This window comes from Homo sapiens, chromosome 5 (genome assembly GCF_000001405.40).
Source record: "Homo sapiens chromosome 5, GRCh38.p14 Primary Assembly".
Taxonomy (NCBI): Eukaryota; Metazoa; Chordata; class Mammalia; order Primates; family Hominidae; genus Homo; species Homo sapiens.
The window spans coordinates 125,036,175-125,063,489 of NC_000005.10; the positions used below are offsets into that span (position 1 = coordinate 125,036,175).

General features: G+C 39.2%; 1 long non-coding RNA gene across 1 annotated transcript in view; it reads left to right on the plus strand.

The window, feature by feature from the left end:
- Positions 1–656: 656 nt before the first annotated feature.
- LOC101927421 (uncharacterized) overlaps positions 657–27,315 on the plus strand; it is a 330,904-nt gene continuing 304,245 nt past the window's right edge. Inside the window, exons 1-2 of the long non-coding RNA NR_109882.1 lie at positions 657–691; positions 5,983–6,065. This is a non-coding gene — a long non-coding RNA (uncharacterized LOC101927421). The remainder of the gene's footprint in view (positions 692–5,982; positions 6,066–27,315) is intronic.

The window sequence follows — 27,315 nt, forward strand, 5'->3', positions numbered from 1 at the left end:
GCATTATAGAAACCCTAGGGAGCTTCTAAAAACCCCAATGCCCAGGCCACATCCTAGATCGACTGAATCAGAAAACCGAGGAGCGGGATCCAGGTGATTCCAGTGTGCTGGCAAAGTGAGAAAGAGCCTGGCTTTAGCTGATCATTACAAATGAGTTCTTGGTCCTATTCTCAATTAAGGTAGCCTGGAGAATAAAAGGTACATTAAAAAAAAAAAGCCCATTGATCTAGTTTGACTAAATTATCTAGAGGAGCATTATTAAATAGCTTTCTTATTCACTTCAGAAATGAATATGGGAATAGCGGTAGAGGAAGATGGGACTAGAAAAAGAGTGTGGCTAAGTCACGGACGACCTTAATACCAGGCCAAGAGTTTTATTCATTAGGAAATTCTGTTCATTAGGAAATAGGCAACAGGCAACACTGACAGTTTTAAGTTGTGGCGTGATCAAAAGTCACAGCTGTGGTTAGGGATATTTATACGTTGGGTATTAGTAGGATGGAAGTGATGAAGGGAGAGAGGCCAATTAGGCCATGATTGCTCTGAGGATGGGAAGTACGTGAATGTGGAATCTTGGGGCAATAGAACGGACAGAACGTAGTGTAGCAAAGCTTCTCTCCATAACGTTCCTCTGGCCAAGTGAGAAACATGAAGATTAGAAGTGCAGCACATGCCTTCTGAAGAAGCCAGGGTGAGTGGGGCACATGCCACTTTAGCCTGGGTTGGAGATATGCTACAAGGGGCAGGAATAGAGATGTAGGGATGAGAGGATACAGATTCTGAATAGAGACAAGATAGTTTGGTCTTCTGAAGGGTTTCCATTTTGGGGATGTGTGTTTGTATTTGATTTCAGATTCACTGAGGGAAAGGGGAAAGAGTTATAGTTTGGGGTCACCCACCTCCCTCAGTCCCTAACCATGGGACTGCCCTCATAATCCCCTTTTCTGACACAAAAGGGAAGAAATAGTTTCATGGTATAGCATGGTATGAAAATCACAAAAGGTATAAAATTCAGAAAGAGGATGTGGTCAGAGTATTAAAGGCTACAAAGAAGTCACAGTGGGTGAAGACCCTGAATAGTCCTGAATGACAGCAAAGTTTCCCATGAGTGTGCAGAGAAAAGTTAACATGGCAGGCCTGAGACAGCTCTCTTAGGCCTGCTTGTAAGGGTGGCGCCAGGCTAGCATCTGAAATCTTAAATTTCAGGAAGGTTTCCACAGTTGCCTAACTGATGAGTGGCTCACTGTGCCTGAACTGTGCGATTGACTTACGCTGAACACCTGCATTTCTTCTTGGAGTACGACATTTTGGCAAGTGCTAGGCAGAGAGTGCCTAAGTGACCAGCCTCCAGCATAAGCCTTGGGCACTGAGTCTTTAATAAACTTCCCTCGTAGACAACATTTCCATGTGTTGTTGCAACTCGTTGCTGAAGGAATTTAGTGTGTTCTGTGAGAATCCACTGGGAGCGGACCCTTAGAAGCTTGTGCCTGGTTTCCTCTGGGCCTCACCCGATGCTCCTTTTTCCATTTAATTTTGCCTTGCCTCCTTTTGCTCTAATAAATCATAGCTGTGACTATATGCTGAGTCCCGTGAACCCTAGTGAATCACTGAACACGAGAGTGGTGCTGGGAACCCTTGACAATCAGAATGAGGAAAATTTAAGAGCATTAATTTGGTCAGAAAAACCGGGAGATCTTGAATGCAGAAATTTCTAATAGCTGAATTAAGTGAGCCTATGTGCTTTGGAAAGTAATAAGGGAGAAAAATTTGGCTTTACTTTTTTGTTTGTTTTTGATGGAGTCTCGCTCTGTCGCCCAGGCTGGAGTGCAATGGTGCGATCTCGGCTCACTGCAACCTCTGCCTCCCAGGTTCAAGCAATTCTCCTACCTCAGCCTCCTGAGTAGCTGGGATTACAGGCTCCTGCCACCATGCCCAGCTAATTTTTGTATTTTTAGTAGAGACGGGGTTTCACAAGTTAGCCAGGCTGCTGTCAAACTCCTGACCTCAGGTGATCCACCTGCCTCGGCCTCCCGAATTGCTGGGATTATAGTCATGAGCCACCGTGCCCGGCCTGGATTTACATGGTTTATCTAAGCTTTCTGCTCATGATTAAAGCTGAAAGCTGGTGTTTTCTCCTTTAAAGAAGTAAAGCGTGAACATAGTGAAAAGAGCATGTTATGAAAACAAACTTTGAGAGGAACAATTACTGAGTCTTTATAGCTGTATTGTGAATTTAAAAAATTTTTAAACTTCCTATTTTGTTTCCTGCTGCCTCTTGTTGAGCTGTGAGCACCTTGCCCAGGTGTCCAGGCACACTAATGTGATAACGCTGGTCCCTATCACAAGTTTCCCATCACTGCCCTCCCTCAACCGTGACTTAGTAACATTCAAATGCACCAGTGAAATCCCTTTTCCTGTGTACTCCACCCTGACTGCCAGTGAAGGCACCTGACCACAGGTCCTCACTCTCTCTCGGCTCTCCCCACTGCTTGGCTGAGCCCGCTTCCTTGGCACTCCTCCCATATGGCCCCCTCTCAGCATGCAGTAACTGGCTCTCCAGGACTTGCAAGTATCACACATCTTGTTTCCTGGAGGCTCTCCTGTGTCTTCTTTTGTGGCTGTACTTGACTGACCTTTTCCTAAAGGAACACAGAACAACAATACCACTCAGTGACATCTATTTTCCCATGTCGAATTTCAACATAATAAAAAAAGTACATGATAAATGCTTAGCAAAGTAGCGAGAAAGGCTAATGAGGTAAATGTGCATGTTTTACCTGCATTAGTCAACTTGGGCTGCCATAGCAAAATACCATAGACTGGGTAACTTAAACAACAGAATTTGTTTTTTCACAGTTCTGGAGGCTGGAAGTCCAAGATCAAAGTGTCAGGATGGTCCCATTCTAGTGGGGACCCTCTTCCTGGCCTGTAGATGGCCACCTTCTTGCTATGTCCTCACATGGCCTTTCCTCTGTGTGCATGACGAGAGAAATCTCTAGTTTCTCTTGTTCTTCTTACAAGGCCAACAGGTCTATTGGATCAGGGCTCCACTCTTATACCTCATTTCACTTTAATCACCTCCTTAAAGGCCCTTTCTCCAATGCAATCACATGGAGGGGGCTTAGGGCTTCACGACATTAATTTAGAGGGAACACAATTCAGTCCATAGCACTACACATCTTGCCAAACCTTCACTTGACCTCCAACCACCATCTTTTTTCATAACCATCTTCCTCAAATGAGAGGGTATAGCTATGTACATTTCTTCACCAGACATCATGCTTTGAACGCTTCATAATCTGTTTTACTCTCTCAAAACTCCACTGAAATTTCTTTCTTTTCTTGGTTTTCACACTCCTTTACTTCTCTGTTGTATCCATGGTGTTTTCTGTCCCTGCGTCTCACAATTCCTTGCTCTTGTGGCTTTTCAGTGTATTCATCCGGTTTGTAATAATTTATTTGCCCTCTTTTTTTCTTCCAACTGCTTTTTGAAAACGTTTAATTTGAAAAAATACAAAATTGGAGAGAATAGTGTACTAAGCTCTCATGTATCCACCTCATCATACTATGGCAAATCTATTTTTATTGATATCCCCCTCCCCAGGATTATTTTGAAACAAATCCTAGATAACATATTATTCATACAAAAATGCTTCAGAAAGTATTTCTTATATATTTACAAAATTACAACCACAATACTATCGCATCTAAAGAAATTAACAGTAATTCTTTAAATATCATCAAATATCCTGAAAGTGTTCAAAGATTCCTGATTGTCTCATAAATATTTTTTCATAGTTAATTTGCTCAAATTAGAATCCAAATAAAACTCAAACACTGGCCAGGTGCGGTGGCTCAGGCCTCTAATCCCAGCACTTTGGGAAGCCAAGGCGGGTGGATCACCTGAGGTCAGGAATTTGAGACCAGGCCAGCCAACATGGTGTAACCTTGTCTCTACTAAAAATACAAAATAATAATAATAATTAGCTTGGCGTGGTGATGAGCGCCTGTAATCCCGGTTATTTGGGAGGCTGAGGCAAGAGAACCACTTGAGCCTGGGAGGCGGAGGTTGCAGTGAGCCGACATTGTGCAGCTGCACTCCAGCTTGGGTGATGGAGTGAGACTCTGTCTCAAAAAAACAAAACAAAAACAAAAAAACTCAAACACCACAAGGTTGATGTGCCTCTTCAGTATCTTTTAATCTACAGATAACACCTCCCTTTTATGTTTAATTTTTTGAGACAGAGTCTTGCTCTTCACCCAGGCAGGACTGCAGTGGCGCAATGTTGGCTCACTGCAAGCTCCACCTTCCGGGTTCACACCATTCTCCTGCCTCAGCCTCCCGAGTAGCTGGGACTATAGGCGCCTGCCACCACGCCCAGTTAATTTTTTGTATTTTTAGTAGAGACGGGGTTTCACCGTGTTAGCCAGGATGGTCTCGATCTCCTGACCTCGTGATCTGCCCGCCTCAGCCTCCCAAAGTGTTGGGATTACAGGCGTGAGCCACCGCGCCCGGCCTCCCTTTATGTTTTGTTTTTTAATTTATTTTTTGAAGGCAGCAGGTTATGCATCCTCTGGAGTTTCTCAAGTTGAGATTTTGTTGATTGCATTCCATGGTGTCATCGCTGTAAATGGTGGTAAAATCTAGTAAGGCTTGATCAGATTCAAGTTCAATTTTTTTCCCCAATAATATTTTAATTTTAGGCTGTGATACCAAGTGCTGTTTCTCATCCTTGGTCTTCAGGGTGGACTCTTGCTAAGCTTCAATCTTTAGAACTCAGTTCTTACGTTCTTTAGGAGTAGTAATATGTACCCAAATTTTAGCTATGATTTCTAAAAAGTGAGAGAATGTTGGCCTAAGATGATAACAGAATTTAGCACTGAAAGAAAAGTTAGACAGCAGTCAACGCAGGGCTCTGAGAATGGTGTTTTCTAATCTACTTTGTGAATAATGAGCTCATAGGCAAATAATTTTGGGAAAACCCCGAGTAAGTAAACTAACACAATTTTCTTTACAATATAAAGGTACATTGCAAATCTAAGGAGGGAGATATGGTAATTAGTGTTTCCTAAACTTATTTCACCATACAACTACCCTTCGCATGATGATATTTATTGAAGTTCTCTTATAAACAGTGTTTTACACTGAGAATGCTGAATAATTGGGTCACAGTGAAGGTCTAGGACTCTCAACACTGTTTATAATGTAGTAAGCAGATAAGCAGATGTTTTATCTGAACTGCTTTGTACAGAATAAGACAATTTACTTAAAAAAAAAAAAAAAAGAATCTCCCGCCTTCACCTAAGTTTGAGCGCTTCCCACCACCCCCCACCCCGCCCCCGCCCCCAGCAAGCCTGCCTTTCCCCTTGGGAATACACTGTCAACAAAACACAGCAATGAAATCAGCTTCATCACTCTTAGTATCTCTTCTCCCTTTCTTCTGCAGTAAGATAATACCTGCTTTTTAACAATGGACTTCCAGACTAAAGGTTATATATTCTAGCATAGTAGCTGTTGTTTCTCAGTGTGTAGTACAATTAAGGGCAGAAAAATTCAAATTGGTTCTTAGGAATATGAAGAGATGCCTTATTAGCAGAATAAAAAATATTAACACTTGATAATTCCCAGAAACATAATGGGCTCATGTTTGACTGCATTTTGAATCCCTACAGCTCTCACATCTCTTTAATTTTTTCTACTGTTGTTTCCTGCATTCACTGAGTTAGCATTTCTCGAATATGCTTTGGGCTCTGTGTTTACTATGACAGATATGCCATGCTTCTTGTTGGGGGCTGGACATGGTGGATGACATCAGTCACACAAACTGTTGATTATAACGAGTAGTATGTGCAGTGATGCTTTATGCAGGGTACTATGGGAGCACAGTGGCACTCTTATTCTGATTAACCTTGTCACTAGTAAGTCATTTTAAATTCTCAAGACTTAGGACAGTGTTTCCTACTTTTGTTTCCTCCACACAGCATGGAACAGTTCTGGGAACACAGCACTGATAAAACTCTTAGGGATGAATTTACCTATACCTGTGTTTCAGCCTTGTGATCTGGTGAGTATTCAGCTAATTTTCTTGTGGTCTTTTCCTCCCTTTGTTAGGCAAAAATTATACAAATGTAAACCAGCTGAGTTTTACAGTGTGGTTTGATGGCAGCAAGTTTGAGAGGGACAAAATACCATTATGACCACCTGCCAAAATTTCCCTTTGCAACCAGGAAAGCCAGACCCTGACATGCAAAGCCTCTTGGACATCTGGAATGAATTCCTTTTGTTATGTGTGTATGGGTGCTTTCCAAGAAAGGGAAGTTCCAGATTTAAGAAAGGAGTGAGAAACTTTTATCAGGAAAAATTATTCACAATTAAGAGGTACTTTGCTCTAGCTGTGGGTCACAGGAAAAGTTTACAAATGTCCAGTGAATCTGCTTCTTGACTTCTCTGAGTTCTGCAGTCATAATGAATTGTGTTCTTCCTTAGCTCTTGACAGAAGTCACCCTCTAAAGTTAGATCTGAGCAAAGAGTCTTAATTGGCCGATAGATCCCAAGTGACTTTTGGTTCACATATGGAGAGCAGTTTTGTTATGTCAAATCCCAGCAGTTTAGCTTTGTGTCTAACTCTGGATAAAAATGTTGATATTAAACTGGTAGCAAGTAAAAGCAATTCTAATTTTATGTTGCATAAACTAAAGCTCCTTCTTTTGACAAAAACTAAAGGATTTAAAATTACTTCTTGTTGATGTCTCTATAAAACTATGAACCTTCTAGAGGCTCCAATATATCGAATTACATACACATGTACATTCACACCTACAGAAGTCACCTATCTCCCTGAATGAATTTATGTTTATGTAACTACTTACATACTTGTGCCCAAAGGCTTATATTCATGAATGGAAATGGACCCTAGCTGATGGTATTGAGCAGTAAAATTTTATGTGAGAGTTTTGGGTCTTTGCTGCTGAGATAGGAATCTTGCTGAATTTTAAAGGTGACTAGTTAAAAGAAATAAAACATAGTTCACCCTTTCAGTTGGAGGAGAACAGAGTATTTAACAATAGGTTTCCTCTTTGAACTGATGTTCCATGGGAAGAATGGCTGATAATAAATGGAAATGGTGGCTCGAAGAATGTTGTAAGTTTACTTCCTGAGAGAAGTCATTTAGAATCTATCATTTCTGAGGCAGATATAATTTCACTGATCCTTTTGTCTCTTTATATTCTTTTGTCTCTCTATATTCTTTATATCCTGCAGATTTGGCACTAGTTACTATATTTCTTTGTGTTGACCCTGGTCAAATGAGCTTGAGCTACATTATTGTTGTTTCTTGTTTTTCTCTTCTTTTTTCAATGACTCACATTTTCACTAGATTAAGAATAATATTAACCTCTTTTTGGTGTAAAGTATAGCACTGTGACATGTAATATCTCATTGTAACTGAGCTTTGCAATATATTTGCAAGGAAAGTAGAGGTGGTAGCAATATCTCTGTTTGGCATATGAGGAAACTGAGGCTTAGAGAGCCTAAGTGAATTTCCTAAGCTTTCACTGCCAGGACCAAAAAGAGCTCCAGCTTGGTTCTCAGTCTCATATTTCAGATGCTTTTTCCAACATACTTCATTGCTTTTACTGGGCAACTGGCTTTCAAACATGTGGTGTGCACAGTTGGTATGTGTGGGACATTCAAGTGAACTTACCTAAAGGCAACAGAATAATCATTTGGAAGGACTGACCCAAATAGACACAGCTCTCTACCCGTGTGAGCAGCAGGTTAGAATGTGGGCAGGCAGCCCAGAATGTGTCTCCTCCCGGGCAGACAGACAGGAATCTCTCTGGAGACTGGCCAGGAGGCCAGAAGGTCTCCCAGAGACTCAAGAGGGCTGCCAGGAGGAATCTATAATGATTCCATTTTAGGTTTAAAGGACATTATAGTCACAGCAGGCGTATCTAGTACTATACATGATGCTGACACAAATGCACATATATTGGCGTCTGATGTAGATAGATGATATCTTGCTGTGAAGGGTGAACGAACAGGCAGTTTTCTACTTTTAACTTTCAGTCAAACCAATCAACATAAACCAGCCAGCAGCGTATGTGGGATGACAGATACTTCCAGATCTTTGCTGATTGCACTAGCCGGATAATTAATTTGGGCATAAGTCATGGTTGGACTCCTCTGCCACTGCATGTTCAGATTTTTCCCACGACTGATTGTGGCAGAGGCTGCTAATTTTCTACCCAACATCCACTTCGTTCTCCTTTTTCAGTAATAGGACTCTGTTTTTGTAGAGGACAGCCAGAGTATAATTAAAAGACCATTTTCTACATTTCCACTTTGCAGCCAGGAGTGGCTGTGTGGGTATGTTTTAGTCAGTGAAAGGTTAGCAGAAATATGTAGGACTTTTGGGAGATTTTCTTAAAGAGAAGTGGATTGACCTCCCTTCTTGCTGCCTGGAATGTGGGTGTGCTCTAGAAGCTATCTTGTAAGTGTGGTGACCAGGCTGCCATCGTAGGAATCTAAGAGTAGGGGACAGGCAGGAGCTTGAGTCATCCAAAACTCCATGAAGCTGCTTTGACAGTCTTGGCCTGCTGACCTCCAGACTTATTTTGTGTGTAGGGAAATATGCTTCTAGCTTGCTTAATACGCTGTGGTTGTTCGTTATATTGCAGTGGGGACCTTACACCAAGTGATGCCTAGATGGGCACATGGTGCTAGAAGAGATCTAAAATGCGATAAAAATACAGGTGAAAAAAGATTTTAAAATATAAAGGAAGAAATAATTTGGGGTCTAATAAGAAAAGAAGCGAGTGATTGTAGCTGGGTGATATTTAACTCCGCTGTTTTCCAATTCTTTCTGCTCCTGCCCTTTGCCCTACTCTTTAGGCACCACTGCCCTGATGGCAGAAATGATACAGAGAGCAAAGTGTCAAATTACTGGCTTCCAAAGGTCTGTGTAGGCTCTTAATAGTCTATAGAAAATATCATAATGTTTTTAACTTACGTGACTTTATTATGGAGAATTTACAACTCACTCAAGAGTAGGTGGAGTTGTATAGTAATCCTCTATACTCGCCATCCAGTTTCAACAACCATTCATCCTTGGTGAATCCTGTCCCATCTACACCTGCATCCACTTCTCTCTTCTCATTGCTTTTAAAATAAATTTCATATTTTGGCATAATTTTAGATTTATGGAAAAGTTGCAAAGATAGGACAATTTTCACATACTCTTTACCTATGTCTCCCTATCTTACGATTCCATGGTACGTTTGTCAGAATGAATATGTTAGTATTGATGTGAAACTATTAATTAAATCTAGACTTTATTCCTATTTCACCAGTTTTACCACTAAAATTCTTTCTCTTTTCTAGAATTCAATCCAAGATACTACATTGCATTTAGCCCCTTGTTATTTTGAAGCATATCCCAGGTATCAAGTAGTTTTACCTTTAAGTATAGTTGGCCCTCCATATCCATCAGTTCCACATCTGTGGATTCAACCAACCGCAGATTCATTTTTTTTTTTTGTTAAAGATGGTTGCATTTATACTGAACGTGTGCAGATTTTTTTTCTTGTCATTCCCTAAACAATACAACTATTTACATAGCATTTACATTGTATTAAATGTAAATCATCAAGAGATGACTCAATGTATGCAGCAGGATGTGAGTAAGTTATATGCAAATACTACACTATTTTATATCAGGAACTTGAGCATTTGTAGATTTTGGTATCTGTGGGCGTCTTGGAATGAATTCTCCAGGGACAACAAGGGACAACTGTATTTTAGTATACATCTCTAAAAGACAAGGACTCTTTTGCTTTAATGCAAATACAAAGTAATCATCACACCCCCAAAATAGCAACGATTCCTTAATATCGTCAACATCAAATCAAATATTTTCTTGTAAATGTCATGTCCTTCTTACACCTTTTTTTTTTTTTTTCTAATCCTGGATCCAAACATGACCTGAACAATAAGATTAGCAAATATGTCTTTTAAATATCTTTTATTCTATAGATTTCCCCTCCATTTCTCTCTTTTTTTCTTTGCAATTTATTTGTTGAAGAAACAAGTTTGTCCTGCAGTTTTGCCATCCAGGTTTTTCTGATCATATCCTTGAAGAGTAGGTACCTGTGTTACACTATGCTTTGCATTTTCATAAATTGACTGTAGAGATTGATCGGATTTATTCATTTACTTATTCAGTGAGTTTTGGCAATAATATAGGAAGTGGTGGGTTTTTCCAACAATAGGCACATACCATACTGTCTGGTTTTCTCTCTTTTTGGTGTTTGTGGCTGTTAATGTCCTCTGTTATAGAGGTTGCAAACTGGTGATATTGTAATTCTAACATTTCTTCTTCATTTATAAGCTGGAATATTTTTTATAAAGATCATGTTTTCTCCATCCACTTATCATTTGGTTATTGTGGTGCACACCATAGAAGAAGGCAAAATAAATGCTGATTTTTTATATACCTTATTTGTCACTTCTAAAAATAATGAGTTGGTTCACTATTAGCATCCTCCAATGTTGACCAGATAATTTAGAGTTCATAGTCAAGAAAATAAAGTGTTTCGTATGTGAAAGAGCAGGTGCTTGAGACAGAGTGTTTAGTATTCCCAAAATTTGTAGCTTGAGAGAGCAGACACCAAAACCCAGAGAGCTGTGAGCATGGAGAGAGAGACAGAGAGAGACAGAGAGAAGGAAACACCTAGATACATTTGGTAGAATCTGAGAGCTACAGACTTGGTGCCCCTGCTCTAAGCTATCCTCAAGGCCAATCTGGTACTGGAGCAGCTGGTATTGTCATGACAGTAGCCAATGACTAAGGCAGGCACTTAGTCAGGGAGTCCCAAGGACAGCCTCACTATGAGCCCAGAGCAGTGCAGAGAAGGTGGGTGCAAGCTCCTGAGTCCCAGTGGGGGCTCAGAAGTGCTGAGAGGACCAGCAGGCTGTAGGAGGCCTGTGGTTGTATGCGAACAACAGAGTTTGATGAATACCAGGTTGAGAGAATTTCACATCTAAGTCCAGGTGGGCAACCTATACCTGCACAGAAGCTGATGGGACACAGAGTGGCATGCGAACCAGACACTAGAAAATAGAGGCCCAGAGGAGAAAGAAAGATGGGCCTGGGGATAGGCCAGCCCTGAATTTGATCCGTTATTGCCCAGAAGAGATTATTTTCATTTTTTCAGAATTGAAAAAACTTAGCTCAGGGTTTCCATTTCCACACATTAGCAGAAAAACTATCTTTCCAATTCAAAGTTACATTCTAGTAAACTGATTTCACTTACATAGACATAAAGAGAGTAAGATGACTGCCCATCTAGGACTGTAAATTTAAAACTCTAGATAAGTATAAGCTCTTTAATGTTTGAAAGAAAGGGAGTCATCGGGGTGCTTGAACTAGTCACTCTGCCCTCAGGGAAGGAGGCAGAGAATGGGCTGGCCCCAGGGTTATGAAGTGGGGTAGAGATGGAGGGTGGAATAGGAGGGGCATCCGTTTAGGGTTCTGGCTGCTTTTCTCTTCAAAGGTTTGCTTCAAACACACTGGAATGTCATGGGGACTTAACTTGGTAAAGTAGTGCTCACCTAAGAAACCTCTGGAGAAAGTTCTTAACTGGCATTGTTAGACCTCACCTCAAATCATACCTCCCTAAATCCTGTATTCGTGTGTTGGGAGGAGCGTCAGTTCACCCTGCAATGTGTGTAGGGGGCAGTTGGATTTATTACTGTTATTTGCAAGATTCAGGTGTGTAAATTACCTTATATTTTTCTCAGCTCTATCTCCCCATCTGTAGAATGAAGGGAATTTGGCCTAAGAACTGGACAGGGTTCACCATGAGTCCATAAGTCTCAGGTAGCTGCCTCATCTACAGCTGTCATATTAAGTAACGTAGCCCAGGGGCACTCTTTCTTGCACAGATACTACAGCTACTGCCACATTGTATTTAGTGATATAAAACTTTCCCCCCAGGGGAGTAGAGAACTATTGCCTGTAGCATTTACTCCTTGTTCAAAGGAATTCTTTTTGCCCCTCACTCCAGCCATGGAAGTTTCACTGGACCGGATACTCTCAGTGCTTGGTCACATGATCCTTCCAAACAAATAAGAATTTTTTCTTGAGGCTTTTTTGTTTATTTTGTTTTCTTATTTACAACAGTGGGGACAGAATATTTTTCTCTGTTGATAGAACTGGGAAAATGTAAGATATTGGTAGTAGTGGGTATAGCCTTGAGGAAAAATTTCTCATGCAGAGAACCACAGTAAAGAGAAACCTAGAGAACCCTGTTTCATCAGAGTCCTGGTTCCTGTTAACTTCAGGCCTTTACCACCACCTTTACTGAGATTGGGAGATGCCAGACAACAAAGACCTCTTTTCATATGAACTAGATATAACTTACTTTCATTTGTAGTCAAAACAGTATTAATTAAACTAGTTAATGGGATCCAAAAAGCCAGTCACACATGGGGTAGAAACTGGGGAGGCCTGTAGAGTGGCTTAGTGTGAATTCCTGGCTCACCGCAGTGCTCCTTACTGAATGGCAGAATACTGGCCCTACTTTCACTTGGGAAAAAAATGAATTCTAGATAAACAAAAGAAGTGGGCCAATTGAGTTCAGGTTCCTTCCACAAATATTTTGAGCTACTGTTCTGTTTTTCCACGAAGTCCACTGTGTATCCCAGTCCTCTCAAAGCTCTATGACTAAGTAAGATTGCATTACGTAGAATTCCTTTTATATTCTTTTTTTTTTTTAGACAAGGTCTCTCTCTGTTGCCCAAGCTGGGGTTCAGTGGCTTGATCAGGGCTTACTGCAGCCTCAACCTCCCAGGCTCAGGTGATCTTCCCAGCCTCTTGAGTAGCTGGGACTACAGGTGTACACCACCATGCCCAGCTATTTTTTGTAGAGATGGGGTTTTGCCATGTTGCTCAGGCTGGGCTCAAACTCCTGGGCTCAAGAGATCCACCTGCCTTGGCCTCCCGAATTGCTGGGATTACAGGCATAAGCCACCACGCCAATTCTGTATATTCTTTTAATAATCCTCAATATGAAGGTAATTTTTGCATATGTCCTCTGGGCAACTACAAACCAACAAATATAACCACGATCAGCGATTCTCAGTGGGTACCATGGAGTCACTGTAAACCTTTTAAAAGACAGAATTTTGATATAAGTGGGTTTGAAAACTCCACAGGTGATGTACAAAATGCATCCTGATTAAGATTCCCATTCCTGGATTTTCTTTCAAATTCCATGATTGTGGAAAAGTTGCTTAGATGGACATTAGGTATTGATGAGTGGGCAGTGAGCTGTATCAATCTATAACTATGTTAAAATCCCAGAAAAGTGATCAGCCTATAAACAGCTATCCACATCTCCAGTTTTACCAGGTGAAAAGAGCTACTGTCAGCTTGGCTTCCTCCTTCTAGAAATAGAGTCATACTTTGGATTTAATATAGTTTTTGGTTATTATGAGACTTAAACATGACATTTCTTTGTATTTTCCTCTCTGCCTGTTTCTCTCACACTCTCATATTCTTCTGGTTGTAATTTAGCAGCCCTACATTCCCGACATCAAATGGAGGTTAAGTACCGTGTTATTTAAACAAGATGAATGTATTTGATAATGACTGAGTAAGGAAAGTGGAGGAGGAATAAAGTAGGGAGGAACAACTCCCAGCAGCAGGGCGTGAGGAGAAATGTCTCAGCAACACCACATTCATGGATCTGCTCGGTAAAAATACTGCTGACATAACATTATAATTCATCTCCCTAAAGTTTTATGTTTCCCACTTTGGAAAACAACTATGTCTGGTATATAATTTCACTCTTGTATTATGACATTTGAGAAAGTAGCCAGGACTGGTTAAGTTTAACTCCCCCCATGAAGTTATTTTAGATGTCAGTTTCTACAAGTGATTCACAAACGGGCAGATTAGCAGAAACATGTTATTCCAGAATGGTCAGGATTGGGGAGAGCTAGAGAAAAACACTGACTTTATTCTTTGATGTTTGTGGTGGTGTGAATATTTGTCTTGTATTTGCTTTGGTGATCTCATTGTATGATTTTAGAAGAACTATCAACTGATCTATTTTCTCTTTCTTTGAATAAACTTAAAAATGTGACCCAATTGTTTTCAGTCAGAGATAATAAAATAATGGATGTTATCATTGTTTTGAAATAATCATTTACTGTTGTTACTTTCTTCATGGTGTTCTTGAACTTAGGTTTGAAATAATTAATTAATTTTGATTCCATGATCTCATCTGAATGTGGCAGAAGGAGAAATGGAATTTGTACTCTGAAAATCTGTGTTCTGCGGTGTTCTTAGCTTAGGTAATGATAAATCCTTGGACTGTGGATGTGTTCAAAATGTGCCACATTTAGACATCTCTGGTCACTGGCATAAACCTTTAGTTATTGCTTAAATATAGATAAGTGTCTTTCTTTTTTAAAAAGTCATATTGTGTGTAAAGAATAAAATAAGTATATATATTGAATGGCCTGAGAGCAAAACAAAACACTGAAAAACTTATGAAAGTAGAAAAATGAGTATTCTTATGACTCTATTAAATTATATTTTGTAAGATGAAATACTTTGACTACATATTGGGTACAGTATACACTGCTTGGGTGATGGGTGCACCTAAATCTCAGAAATCACCACTAAAGAACTTATCCATGTAACCAAAAACCACTTCTTGCCCCAAAACTATTGAAATAAAATAAAATAAGACATATAAATAAATACTTTGCTTTATTTAGTTTATTGGTAATATATTAAATAAGGTGTGAAAGTTCTGAGATTTTTATCCTCCTTGCAAGCTAACAAGTTATCCTGCCACAGTGTCATGGATGTTGGCAGAAAACATGAGACTCTTGGGTCAGAGACAAAGAACCATTTATTAGTCACAGCAATAGCAGTAGCCAGAGTATCAGTGATTGTCCCAGCTGCCTAAGCCCTGATTCCTACAGGGCTGCACAGCTGATTCCTGGACTCACAGTGGGTTGTGTTACAGGAGAGAAATCTTGAATTCAGGGGACCTGAACCTTTTATAACAGGTAGCCTGCCTAACTTTGCCCTGAAGAGAGATGTTACCGTCAATTTACTGGACAGAACCAAACATGCCTTATTTTCTTTGGAGGGAAACACTATATCTATCTTCCAGGGCCTTTTACTGTATAGACATCCTTGAAAATATAGTCTGGACAAAAGGCAGGCAGTGGCTCTACTCCCAAGATGTGTACAAATAGGGGGAAGCCAAGAAGAATTGTCTCCCAGTTGATGCAATGTATAGAAATGTACGTTTGTTTCTCTGTAATTAAGCTGAACTTAGCTTTGAAATCTCTATTTTTTAAGGTGAAAAAGATATGCTCATCAAGGCAAATTCAGTCACCTTAAGCTTAAAATGTATTTTCATTTGTTGTAAATTTAAATTAATTTGGGATTCTCATACTGTTTTTTTCTGCATTCCTCTTAGAAGTAACAATATAGTAGCAAACACTTAAAATAGTACTTATAACCACGATGTAATATAATATTCTAAACCCTTTGCATAAGTTAAGTTAATTTATTCAATCTTATACGTAGACTGTTTTCTTTTTTGAGACGGAGATTTATTCTTGTTGCCCAGGCTGGAGTACAGTGGCATGATCTTGGCTCACTGCATCCTCTGCCTCCCAGGTTCAAGCGATTCTCCTGCTTCAGCCTCCTGGGTAGCTGAGATTACAGGCATGTGCGACGCCTGGCTAATTTTATATTTTTAGTAGAGACGGGGTTTGACTGTGTTGACCAGGCTGATCTCGAACTGCTGACCTCAGGTAATCCGCCTGCCTCGGCCTCCCAAAATGCTGGGATTACAGGCGTGAGCCACTGCGCCCGGCCTTGTAGACTGTGTTTTTATCTCTACTTTATATGTAAAGAATTTGAGGCACAGAGAGGTCACTTTGCCCCAAATTACCAAAGCAGCAGAACTGAGATTCTAACCAAGAGGACTCTAGAGTAGGTTCTCCTCGCCTAAATGCGACTTCTCTGCTTTCTAAGAGCTCTGTGGTCTCTATGATCTTGGGGGCTTCTATATCATATTTTTTTTTTTTTTTTTTTTTTTTGAGACGGAGTCTTGCTCTGTCACCCAGGCTGGAGTGCAGTGGCATGATCTTGGCTCATTGCAAACTCTGCCTCCTGGCTTCAAGCGATTCTCCTGCGTCAGCCTCCCAAATAGCTAGGACTACAGGTGTGTGCCACCATGCCTGGCTAATTTTTTGTATTTTTATTAGAGACAGGGTTTCACAGTATTAGCCAGGATGGTCTCGATCTCCTGACCTCATGATCTACCTGCCTCGGCCTCCCAAAGTGCTGGGATTATAGGCGTGAGCCACTGTGCCCAGACTCTATATTATATTTGCATGGAATCCAGATTTAGTCCAGTCCTCTCTTGCTTCCGCTGTGGTATCTTGTCCCATAGCATAGTCTCTGTCTTTGTCAGTTCAACCGCTGGGCTCTGGGAGACTCTGCTTACTCCCATCTACTTAAAAGCTTCTCTGCAGGGATTTAGAGCTCCATGCCGGCGTGGGGGAGATAGCTCTGTGATGTCTCCCTTGAGCCCTTCCACCAACACCACCCCTCAGTTACAGCTTTTCCGTTACTTAGAGGCCCTGCCAAAAACATCGTTTGAATCTCAGCTCTGCCACTTGCTAACGTGACATCTCTCTAACAATTTCTACACCTCTGAAGTGGAGACAATGATACTGTATTGCTCAGAGGTAAAGGTTAAATGAGTTAATTTATACTTGGGAGGTAAAAGTGCTATGTTAAGTGTCTGTTAATACATTATTACAACTGAGGGAAATGGGAGGAAAGAGTTTTAGAGTGCGGAATTGACAGAAATGTATAACAACTAAAACATGTTTTAGGTTAGATGTGGCTGAGTTTACCTTGACAAGTTTAAATTTTCCACCATAAATATGGAGGCTCCAAAGTTTGAATCAGTTACAGAGAAATAAAGGAAGTTTCATGTCTGCACACAGGTCTGTGAGTTGTTGTCACTGTGAAGTTTGCTTTGTGGTGTAAAATCTCTCAACCTCTTTGCTTCTGGTATTCTGGTGTGACCTTAGCATATCTACATTTGTGCAAGGGTTTGATCCATTAAGGGGTCAGGTACAAGACCCTTTCTCATGCACTTGTTGATATCTGCACTTTTATCACATTCCCTAAAATTCCTCTTTTACCATCTACTAGTTGAATTCTTATTTAATTTCAGGTGGGACTAGTTGAATTCTTATTTAATTTCAGGTGGGACTAGTTGAATTCTTATTTAATTTCAGGTGGGAAAATGGTAAGTCCTTATGGCATCCCACGTTCTCCCCATTGTGTCAGTTAAGGTATAAACACTATGAAGTGTTTAAAGTTTTGGTTTTTAATCTTATTTTAAAAACTTTTGGAACTGAGAAAAATCTCTCCCCTCTCAATCACTTGGCTCTTGGAATTGAATCCTATAGCTTTTCAGACTTTCTCTGCTATGTATTTATACAATATATGCAGCCACTTAATTCACTTCTTTCTTCTGGGCATATGCCCCCTCTGTGAGGCAACAAATATCACAGACTAAATAGGTGGAGTGCTACCAGCAACAAGTAAGTGGTAGGAAAGAAAAATCTCTAGATATCATCTCAAAATACAGTCGCATGTCACTTGCTTGATGGGGGATACATTCTGAGAAATGCATCATTAGGTAATTTCATTGTTGTGTGCACCCAGAGTGTACTTACACAAACCTTGATGGAACACCCTACTACGCACCTAGGCTATATGGTATAGTCTGTTGCTCCTAGCCTACAAACCCATACAGCATGTTTCTGTGCTGAACACTCTAGGCAATTGTAATGGAATGACATTTGTGTGTCTAAACACATGTAAACATAAACAAGGTAAAGTAAAAATATGGTATAAAAGATAAAAAATGGTTCACCTGTATAGAGTACTTATGAATAGATATGGCAAGAGGTTGATCTGGATGAGTCAGTGAGTGAGTAATGAGTGAATGTGAAGGCCTAGTACAGGGGTCCACAGTCCCTGGGTCCATGGCTTATTAAGAACCAGGCTGCACAGCAGGAAATGATGGGCCAGTGAGTGAGTGAAGCTTCATCTGTATTTATAGCCGCTCCCCATTGCTCACATTACTGCCTGAGCTCCGCCTCCTGTCAGATCAGTGGCGGCATTAGATTCTCCTAGAAGCGCAAACCCTATTGTGAACTGCAAATGCAAGAGATACAGGCTGTGCACTCCTTATGAGAATTGAATGCCTGATGATCTGTCAGTGTCTCCCATTACCCCCAGGTGGAACCCTCTAGTTGTAGGAAAACCAGCTCAGGGCTCTCACTGACTCTACATTATATGAGTTGTATAATTATTTCGTTATACATTGCAATATAATAATAATAGAAATAAAGTACACAGTACATGTAATGTGCTCGAGTCATCCTGAAACCGCCCCCTCACCACAACCTCCACCCCATTTTGTGGAAAAAATTGGAAATTGGTCCTTGGTGCCAAAAATGTTGGGAACTGCTGGCTTAGGACATTACTGTATACTATTGTAGATTTTATAAACACTGTACAATTAGGCTACACTAAATTTATACATTTTTTTTCAAGAATACGTTCACCTTAGCTTACTGTGATTTTTTAATTTTATGGACTCTTAAATTTTTAAAAACTTGTTGAGCCTTTTGTAATAATGCTTAGCTCAAAACACAAACACATTGTACAGCTGTACAAAAGTATTTTCTTTCTCTATATTCTTATTCTATAAGCTTTTTCTACTTTTGAATTTTTTTTGTTTTTTACTTTTTACTTTTTAAACTCTTTTGTTAAAAATAGGGACACCAATGCACATATTAGCCTAGGCCTACACAGAGTCGGGATCATCAATATCACTGTCTTCCACCTCCACATCTTGTCCCACAGGAAGGTCTCCAGGTGCAGTAACACTCATGGAGTTATTTGTGTTATCATGAATAACTATGCTAACAAGGCCTTCTTTTGGAATACCTCTTGAAGAACTAGCCTGAGGCTGTTTTCTAGTTGACTGTATTTTTTATAAATAGTATGAAAAATAACAATAAAAAGTATAGTGTAGTCAATACATAAAGCAGTAACAGTAAACCATGCACTGTACATGATTGTATGTGCTATACTTTTATACAACTGGCAGCACAATAGGTTTGTTTATACCAGTATCATCACAAACATGTGAGTAATGTATTGCACTACCGTGTTAAAATGGCTACCACATCACTAGGCCATAGGAGTTCTCCAGCTTTGTTATAATCCTAAGGGGCCACCATTGTCTTATATGCAGTCCTCCTTGTTAACTGAAACATTATATGCCCATGATTGTAAGTCACCTAATTTACATAAGATATTCCAACTTTTAAGAACTTTGGCATGTGTTTTAGAAAACAAGTGTTGGTGATTCCAACAATTAAAAACTAGTCTTCAGTTTTTATATCCATTTGAACTTGCTAAGTGTAAGAAAATCATGTGATGTTAGTGCTTCCATTTTCTGTCTTATTTTTCCTTGACAACAGGGCAGAGACTAGGTTGAAGGAAGAGAAGCTGGTTAGGCATTTGCCTTGGGTGCAAAATTTAGAGGGTGTCGAAAATTCAGTGATCAAGGTAAATCATATTTTAATGCAAGATTTAAGAAAACCCAAAATTAATGCAAAAAACTCATGATGAACAAAATGTCAAAATTTTAAATAAAATCGCATCAGTATTCCTGATTCTTCCTTTTGCCTCAGGCTCCAATGTGGCTGGTCTTAGTGTTACTACTGACCTTGGGGCTCTTTTTTTTCTTCCTTTTGTCAGGCCACTGAGAGAGTTCTTAATGCATGTGGTGGCAGGATCAGCAGTGAGAAGCCTCCTAATGTTGATATTTGAGTGCATCTAATCCTTTTCTTTCTAGGTATTTCTATGGCTTGATTAGTTAATATTCTTTGTAACTACTTGAGAAACAAATGTTTCATGGTGTTGTTTTTCTTTTGCTAAAATTGTGTATCTGCTTTGTTCGTTCTCTTTGTCTTATGAACATTAAGCAATTAAAGATGTTTTCTTATAAGCATTTCTCTCTTTTTCTCACTATTACATAATATGTGTTGGTTTTTGTTTTTTCCTTCTCTCTGGTAACAGGAAAAAAAATGGCCTACCTTTTAAAAGAGAGTAACATTTTCATAATTTTCTTGCCAAGCTAGAAAAAATAAAACAAACAATTCATTACATTTTAATATTGAGAGCCAGTGGGGTAGATAATATATTGGGGACAATCATGTTGACATTACACTATTACTTCAAAACTGAAACTAACCTCAGTGTAAGCTATAAAAATGGTTTTAAAACTTGAAAATGGTCCACCATTTCTTTCCTGAGCTTGGGTCACCCAAGAGTATTGAGGATGATGTTTGGGGTTGGGTCAGATTAAGACCAATGAGGCCAGAAATACTGAGACCAGAAAAAAGACTGTCATGATCAACAGGAAATGACATTTCCCCTTCTGTGACTTTGACTCCATGGGCCAAGCCTGAGAGCATCAGAAGTTGGATTGGGGGAAGGGTAGAGAAAGAGAACCTCTTCACTGGGAGTCACGTTCTTGGTGCAACCCTATTAATCTAAAGGGTCTCTAACGCCCAGTCTGACAGACAGCTGGGTGCAAGGAGGCTCCTCCCACCTCACAGTTGTCATTACAGCCTTTTTATTCCAGCATCATCAGAGACTGCTTTTAAGAGCATTTTGATAGATGGCATTTTCTGCAGTGTTAGTAGTGGGAGGAGAATCTATTTGCTGCACAGGCAGTTTTTGTGATTTTTAACAAGACTCCTCCACCCCCTTCAAACCTGTACAACACAATACACACACTGGCTTGTTACCACTTGCCTTCCCTGGCCTCTGGGATTCCTTTCTCTTTGGCTGCGTTTCTCTATCCTTTGCATCTCTCCAAGGCAGAAGTGGCAAAAGCAGTGGGTAAATGGTGAAGGAATACAAGCCTGTGCTGTTTCTGGAACACACTAAGCTGATGTCTGCTCTTTGGAAGTAGAAATTCCGCCTTAAGAAAAATATTTCACTACAGGGCTCTTTGTCTGTTTTCCAAAGCATACAGAAGTGGATTAACTTGCAGTGTAGGCACCCAAATGCCTGACATGTAGATGACCCTGACAAAAATGACTACCCGCAGAGTCAGAATATAGAGATGGTCCTCATGATGCCAAGAACAGTGGTTTTTCCACCGCCTCCGCTAGGGCATACAAAACACATGATTATATTCCCTAAGTTTATATAAAAATTTCTGCATCTTCTAGGTATAACTCCTCCCTCTTTTCTCCCACTCATGAAAGCATTTCAGAGTATAAGTAATAGAGATTGGTATTTTTTATGAATATATACTTGATCTGGTCAAATTTGTTTTAAAGAAGTAAATCATTCGCAAAGTTCAGTATTTTCACTATTTGCACACACAAATCTCTTTAGCACATCTTGCAGCTAATTAACTTTATTATGTTGATATATGTTGTCTTAGGTCGTTCAGAAATAGGAATAGCTACCTAATGAAGAGGGAGGGATGGGTGGTGCATAACAATTGCTGAGAATGGATGAAGCTTTCTATTGGCCTACTTGGAATTCTTTTGATTTGCAGATGGAACCAAGTGAGTTTTATTCAAGGTAGTAGTGGATTTTCTCTAAGATGCAAAGCACAACAAACAATTACAAATTATCCAAATGAAAATTTGTATGACCCTTAGCAAAGGTACTACAAAGGATTTCCAAGAATATTACAAGAAATTCACTGAGAATGACTAGCCTAATCATGTGGTCATCATCCGCTCAGTATTTTTTTTTTCCAGGAAGAGATTGATACTCGTAGTATGATGCTTGCTAGAGCAATAGGTTGGAAAGGAAATCGTTTCCTTTCCTATATTTTAAGAATGTTCTCTTTTGGCAGTACATATCTTAAAAATGATCTTGCTTTCAGACAGCTACAAATATATCATTTAGTGCTTTTTGTATGAATGTGGGGCTGATAGATTTAGATACCGGGGATGGATTGCAGGTTTTTCATTACCATAAATCCCATGTCACATCAGCAGCATGATGGAAGCATTTTGATAGATAACATAAACTCATTAATCACCACTCTCTTAAACTAAGTACCATAGAATTTTAAATGTTCCATATTCCAGCATTTGTGAATGCCTCCCCTTTTAAAAATGTCATCCTTTATTAGTTCATGCTGTTTAAGATAGCTTGAGTTAACTCCATGAAAAGAGACTGTGTACTAAGGGAAGAAAGGACTGGAAAGGGGGAGGAGGGGAAGGAAAGGAGGCAAGAAGATTAAATTCTGTCTTAAATCCAAACACGGCTAGATTGCATGCTAGCATTAATGTCCTCGTCCTCTTCCCAGATAATGTTGGCAGACTTCCAGTTTATTAAAACAACAATCCAACGCTGATCTTGTCTCTGCATACACGATTCAAGGATGGATCATTTACTCAAACAGAGCTGTTGACTAGGGTAGAAAAGCAAAAACGCATTTTAGGAGAGGTTGTTTATGACTGTTGCATAAAGCACTGTACTGTGTGTTTTATACAAGTAGTCCTGATCATTATTAAGTGAAAAGAGAAAGCCAGATTGTTATTCTAAAAGCAATAAGCACAAGTTTTGTCCAGATATTTAATAATGCTGCTTAAACTTGTGAAACCATACTTGTGTGTTCCTCTTAAAAAATATTCTTACCTCCCAAACAATGCATTCTGGAATAAATGTGCTCTTATAAAATATTTTTTTCCTCTGAAACGAAATAGTGCATCACAGGATTTATTTCACTGATGTATTTTCCTTCTGCATTTAACACTTAGAGTATCTATGAATATTCAACTTTCTTGGCACATATTTAATGATTAAAATGAAGTTTATCTGTTCACACATTAATTGCCAATATATGGGTGTTTGTAGAAGAAAAGCTCAGACTTACATCTTGGAGTAAGAATGCTGTTGTATTTCTTAAGGCACATAAAATGGTATAATTCAACCAGCAATTTTCAGGGTTAAAAGTTCTGCTGAGTATCCAAAGGTCAGTGACAAATGTCAGACAAACAGACTTCACACTAGAAGACTCATCTCAGGCGGCAGAGCCAGCCTTGGGGAGAACAGCCTGTTAAGTGTGCTTTGTTTCCAGGTAGCATTTTGTAAATCCAAGTCTTTGATAATGACACAGTATATTGAATGGTGACTGTGACTGAATGGTTGTTGAACTTTGAAGATATGATTCAGCACACCACTGTGAGAACAGAGCACAATAACATTAAACACCAGATGGTATTTCAAAGCCCATCAGATACACAGATTCCTTTTTCTTCTTAACAAAAGATCGGCAAGGCTTCATGTTAAAAAAGAGAAAGAAAGAAAAGAGAAAAGAAAAAGAAAGAAATAAGGAAAGAAAAAAAAAGCCCATTAAGATAAATGGGGTGATTTGGTTTTGTCTTGCTTGACTATAATAGGGAAGCCATCTGAATGGGTCAAATTACAAACTAGACTCCAGATCAAAGGATAACGACTGCAGTGGTGGGTCAAACTCATCTGAACTGTGTCGACCAGATCAGCATGAAATCCTAAACTGTGAGCCAAGAAAACATGTCTCTCTCAAACTGAGACTTGACCACACCAATTAACTAAAGCATTTGCCTCTTTGCTTCAGAGGAGATCTGAGAGTTTCATTGGTCAGGCCAATGTGGACACACAAGAGAGAATGGGATTCCTGTAGCATAGCTTAGACAGTTGAATTCACAAGTAAAATTAAACTGTCCACCAGAAAAGTCACCCAAAAGCTGCTGCTCCACTAGCGGCTTCTGGGTAAATAAAGTGGTGAATGAAACATGGTTTGTGCACATGTGATGCTAGAGAATACTCACATACGGGAAATCAGAGTTCCAGTGACTCTGAATGTGGATATGTGGATGATGGTATAGAAGGGCAGTGTGATAGTTAATTTTATGTGTCAAACTGGCTGCACCATGGTGCTCAGATATTTGGTCAAACATGATTCTAGATGTTTCTGTGAAGGCATTTTTTTGGATGAGATTAAAATTTAAATCTATGTACTTTGAATGAAAAAGATACCCTAAATGTGGGTGGATCTCATCCAATCAACTGAAAGCTTTAAATGAAACAAAGACTGACCTGAACAAGAAGGAATTCTGCCAGCAGATTGCTTATGGACTTGAACTGCAATTTTTCCCTGAGCTTCCAGCCTGCTACCTACTCTATTTTGGACCCACCAAGCCTCTGTAATTATGTGAGCCAATTCCTTAAAATAAATCTATCTACCTCTCTCTCTACATAGATGTATATGTACGTGTACGTATACGTATGTGTACATGTACGTGTACGTGTACGTATGTGTATGTGTACGTGTACGTGTACGTATGTGTATGTATATGTGTATGTATATGCATGTGTATGTATATGTATATGCATGTATATGTATACGTATATGTATATGTATACATATATGTATATGCATGTATATGTATATGTATACATATATGTATATGCATGTCTATGTATACGTATATGTATATGTATACATATATGTATATGCATGTCTATACGTATATGTATATGCATACATATATGTATATGCATGTCTATGTATACATATATGTATATGTATACATATATGCATATGCATGTATATGTATACATATATGCATATGCATGTATATGTATACGTATACATATATGCATATGCATGTATATGTATACATATATGCATATGCATGTATATGTCTATGTATACATATATGCATATGCATGTCTATGTATACATATATGCATATGCATGTCTATGTATACATATATGCATATGCATGTCTATGTATACATATATGCATATGCATGTCTATGTATACATATATATGCACATATTGTTGGTTCTGTTTCTCTAGAGGACACTAATACTGAGAGGTACTTAAAAAAATGAGTGTTCACAACACTTTCGTATTTGAGAAATGAATTAGTTGGGCTTCATGGTCTCAGCTGTCTGCTTTAGGGTTAGGGTTCTGGAATAGCTGATTGATTGGAGTAGTGTAGTGTAGTGATTAAGGGTTCAAGCTCTGAAAGGAGACAGATCTGGGTTGGAATTTTGGCTCTGCTGCCTACTAGCTAAAGCACTTTGCACAAGTTCCTTAAGATTTTTACGTCTCAGTTTCTTTAGTTGTAACATGGAGCTGTAATACTTACCATCTGGAATTTCTAAAAGGAGGTAGATGCAAAAAAGAACAAAGTTTAAAAAATTATAAAAATTGCCAAATATGTGCAATCATAAATGTTACCCCAAAATTTATTTGTGAGAGGAAGGTGGTTATAAATCTTAAGTCATTCAAAGCTAATAGAGATTATCCTAAATTTATAGTCATCTGAGAGATACAAAGTCCTTTCAATGCAATGGCCTCTCTGGACCTGTCTTACTGTAAACTCCCACCACCAAACCTAGGGATGTTGTGAGAATCTCTACAAAGAAACTGGGTTTTTCTTAGAGAACCCAGGCTTAGAAGGGAAGAAAGTATCATGGCATAAGGACACCGATCCAAGAAACACTGAGAAAACTGGTCTACTCATGAAGAGTCCTTTTGTTCTTAAGAATACATTACTGACATTCCATAAATTGGCCATTAATTTGGGTTGCCAAATCTGTCATTTTCACAATGGAGATATCTGTTTTAAGCTTAAGGGACTCTGGAATTCACTGATGTGAGGGCTCTGAGGAATTGGAACTTTTGACTGAGAGATACGGTATCTTCAGAGGATAGAGCACTTTGCAGGACAGGAGAGTGGGCTTTGAGTGGAGAATGGAAAAGGAGGGTGGGTTTTGAGGGGAGAACAGAAAAGGAGGGAGCCTCTGATAGCTCCAGGGTGTGGTGGGCATAAAGGTGCAAGGAGAAGGGCCCTGGATGGCAGGAAAGGTATATGGAAAAGGATATGGGGAATGCCAAAGATGCCCTTTATTTGAAAATTCTGCCCAGGCCCAGCCTTATACCCTCCTCTTCCTCCTGGCTTCAGATGCTCACTGCTCCTGAGATCCAGGATGAGGATGATGCCTATAATTCTATATCTCAGTCTATCACAGGTTCTGGAGGCTTAGTGGGCCCATGTGGGACTCTAACCACTACATTTAGATCATGTCAATGGAAACACATTCTGAGTTAAAAACACAACTTGGGAAAAACGTAGCCTGATATAAACTCTACATGAAAATTAAGATTTACTTAATAGAAAACCCAGAAGGTTAATTACAAAAGGGTACTTCTATACAGGATTAGATTCATCATAAAATCCTTTTAAAAAGCAGATTTCTTATAGATTTAAAAAGTAAATGATTTTCATAGAAGTTTCCATGTGGCCATATTTATTGTGTAGAGAAGAGCAAAAATTATTTTGTAGAGTAGCTCCTAAGGGATCTCAAGTTTTATGTTAATTTGATCCTCACAACAATCTTATGATAGTGGCATTGTCATTTCCATTTTACAGACAAGAAAATTGAGGTTCAGAGAGGGTAAGTCACTTATTTAAGGTCACATTAGCAGAAAGTAAGGAGCACTCTGCTCTGTCTCCAAAGCCTACACTTTCCCCATTTTACCGTCAAATTTATATCAGAGCTGTCTTCTATTGTAGGAAACTTGATATTCCTCATCACCACAGGTTCTGATTACTTTTTGGTTTTATTCCTCAGGGCAGGTGGATGTGGTTATCCATCCCACTCAACGACCTAAAATCTGATGGCATACCACTCAACAACAAAAGACAACCTAATTTAAAATGGGGACAAATAACTTTAGTACTTTGGACAAATATATATATTTGTCCAAATGAGATATGCAAATGGTCAACAAACATATGAAAAGATGCTCAGCTTCATTAGTCATTAGGGAAATGCAAATCAAATCCATAATGAGGTGACACTTCGTACCCACTAAGATAACTATAAAAAATAAAAAGGAATGAGAAATAACAAGTATTGGCAAGGATGTGGAGAAATCAAAACTCTTGTACATTGCTAATGGGAATATAAAATGGTTGAACTGCTAAGGAAAACATTTTGGTGGTTCTTCAAAAGGTTAAATATAGAATTGCTATATGACCCAGCAATTCCTCTCCTAGGTATATAACCCAAAGAATTGAAAACAGGTATTCAAACAAATACTTGCATATGCATATTCATAGTGATTTGGCCTCATTGTCTGTG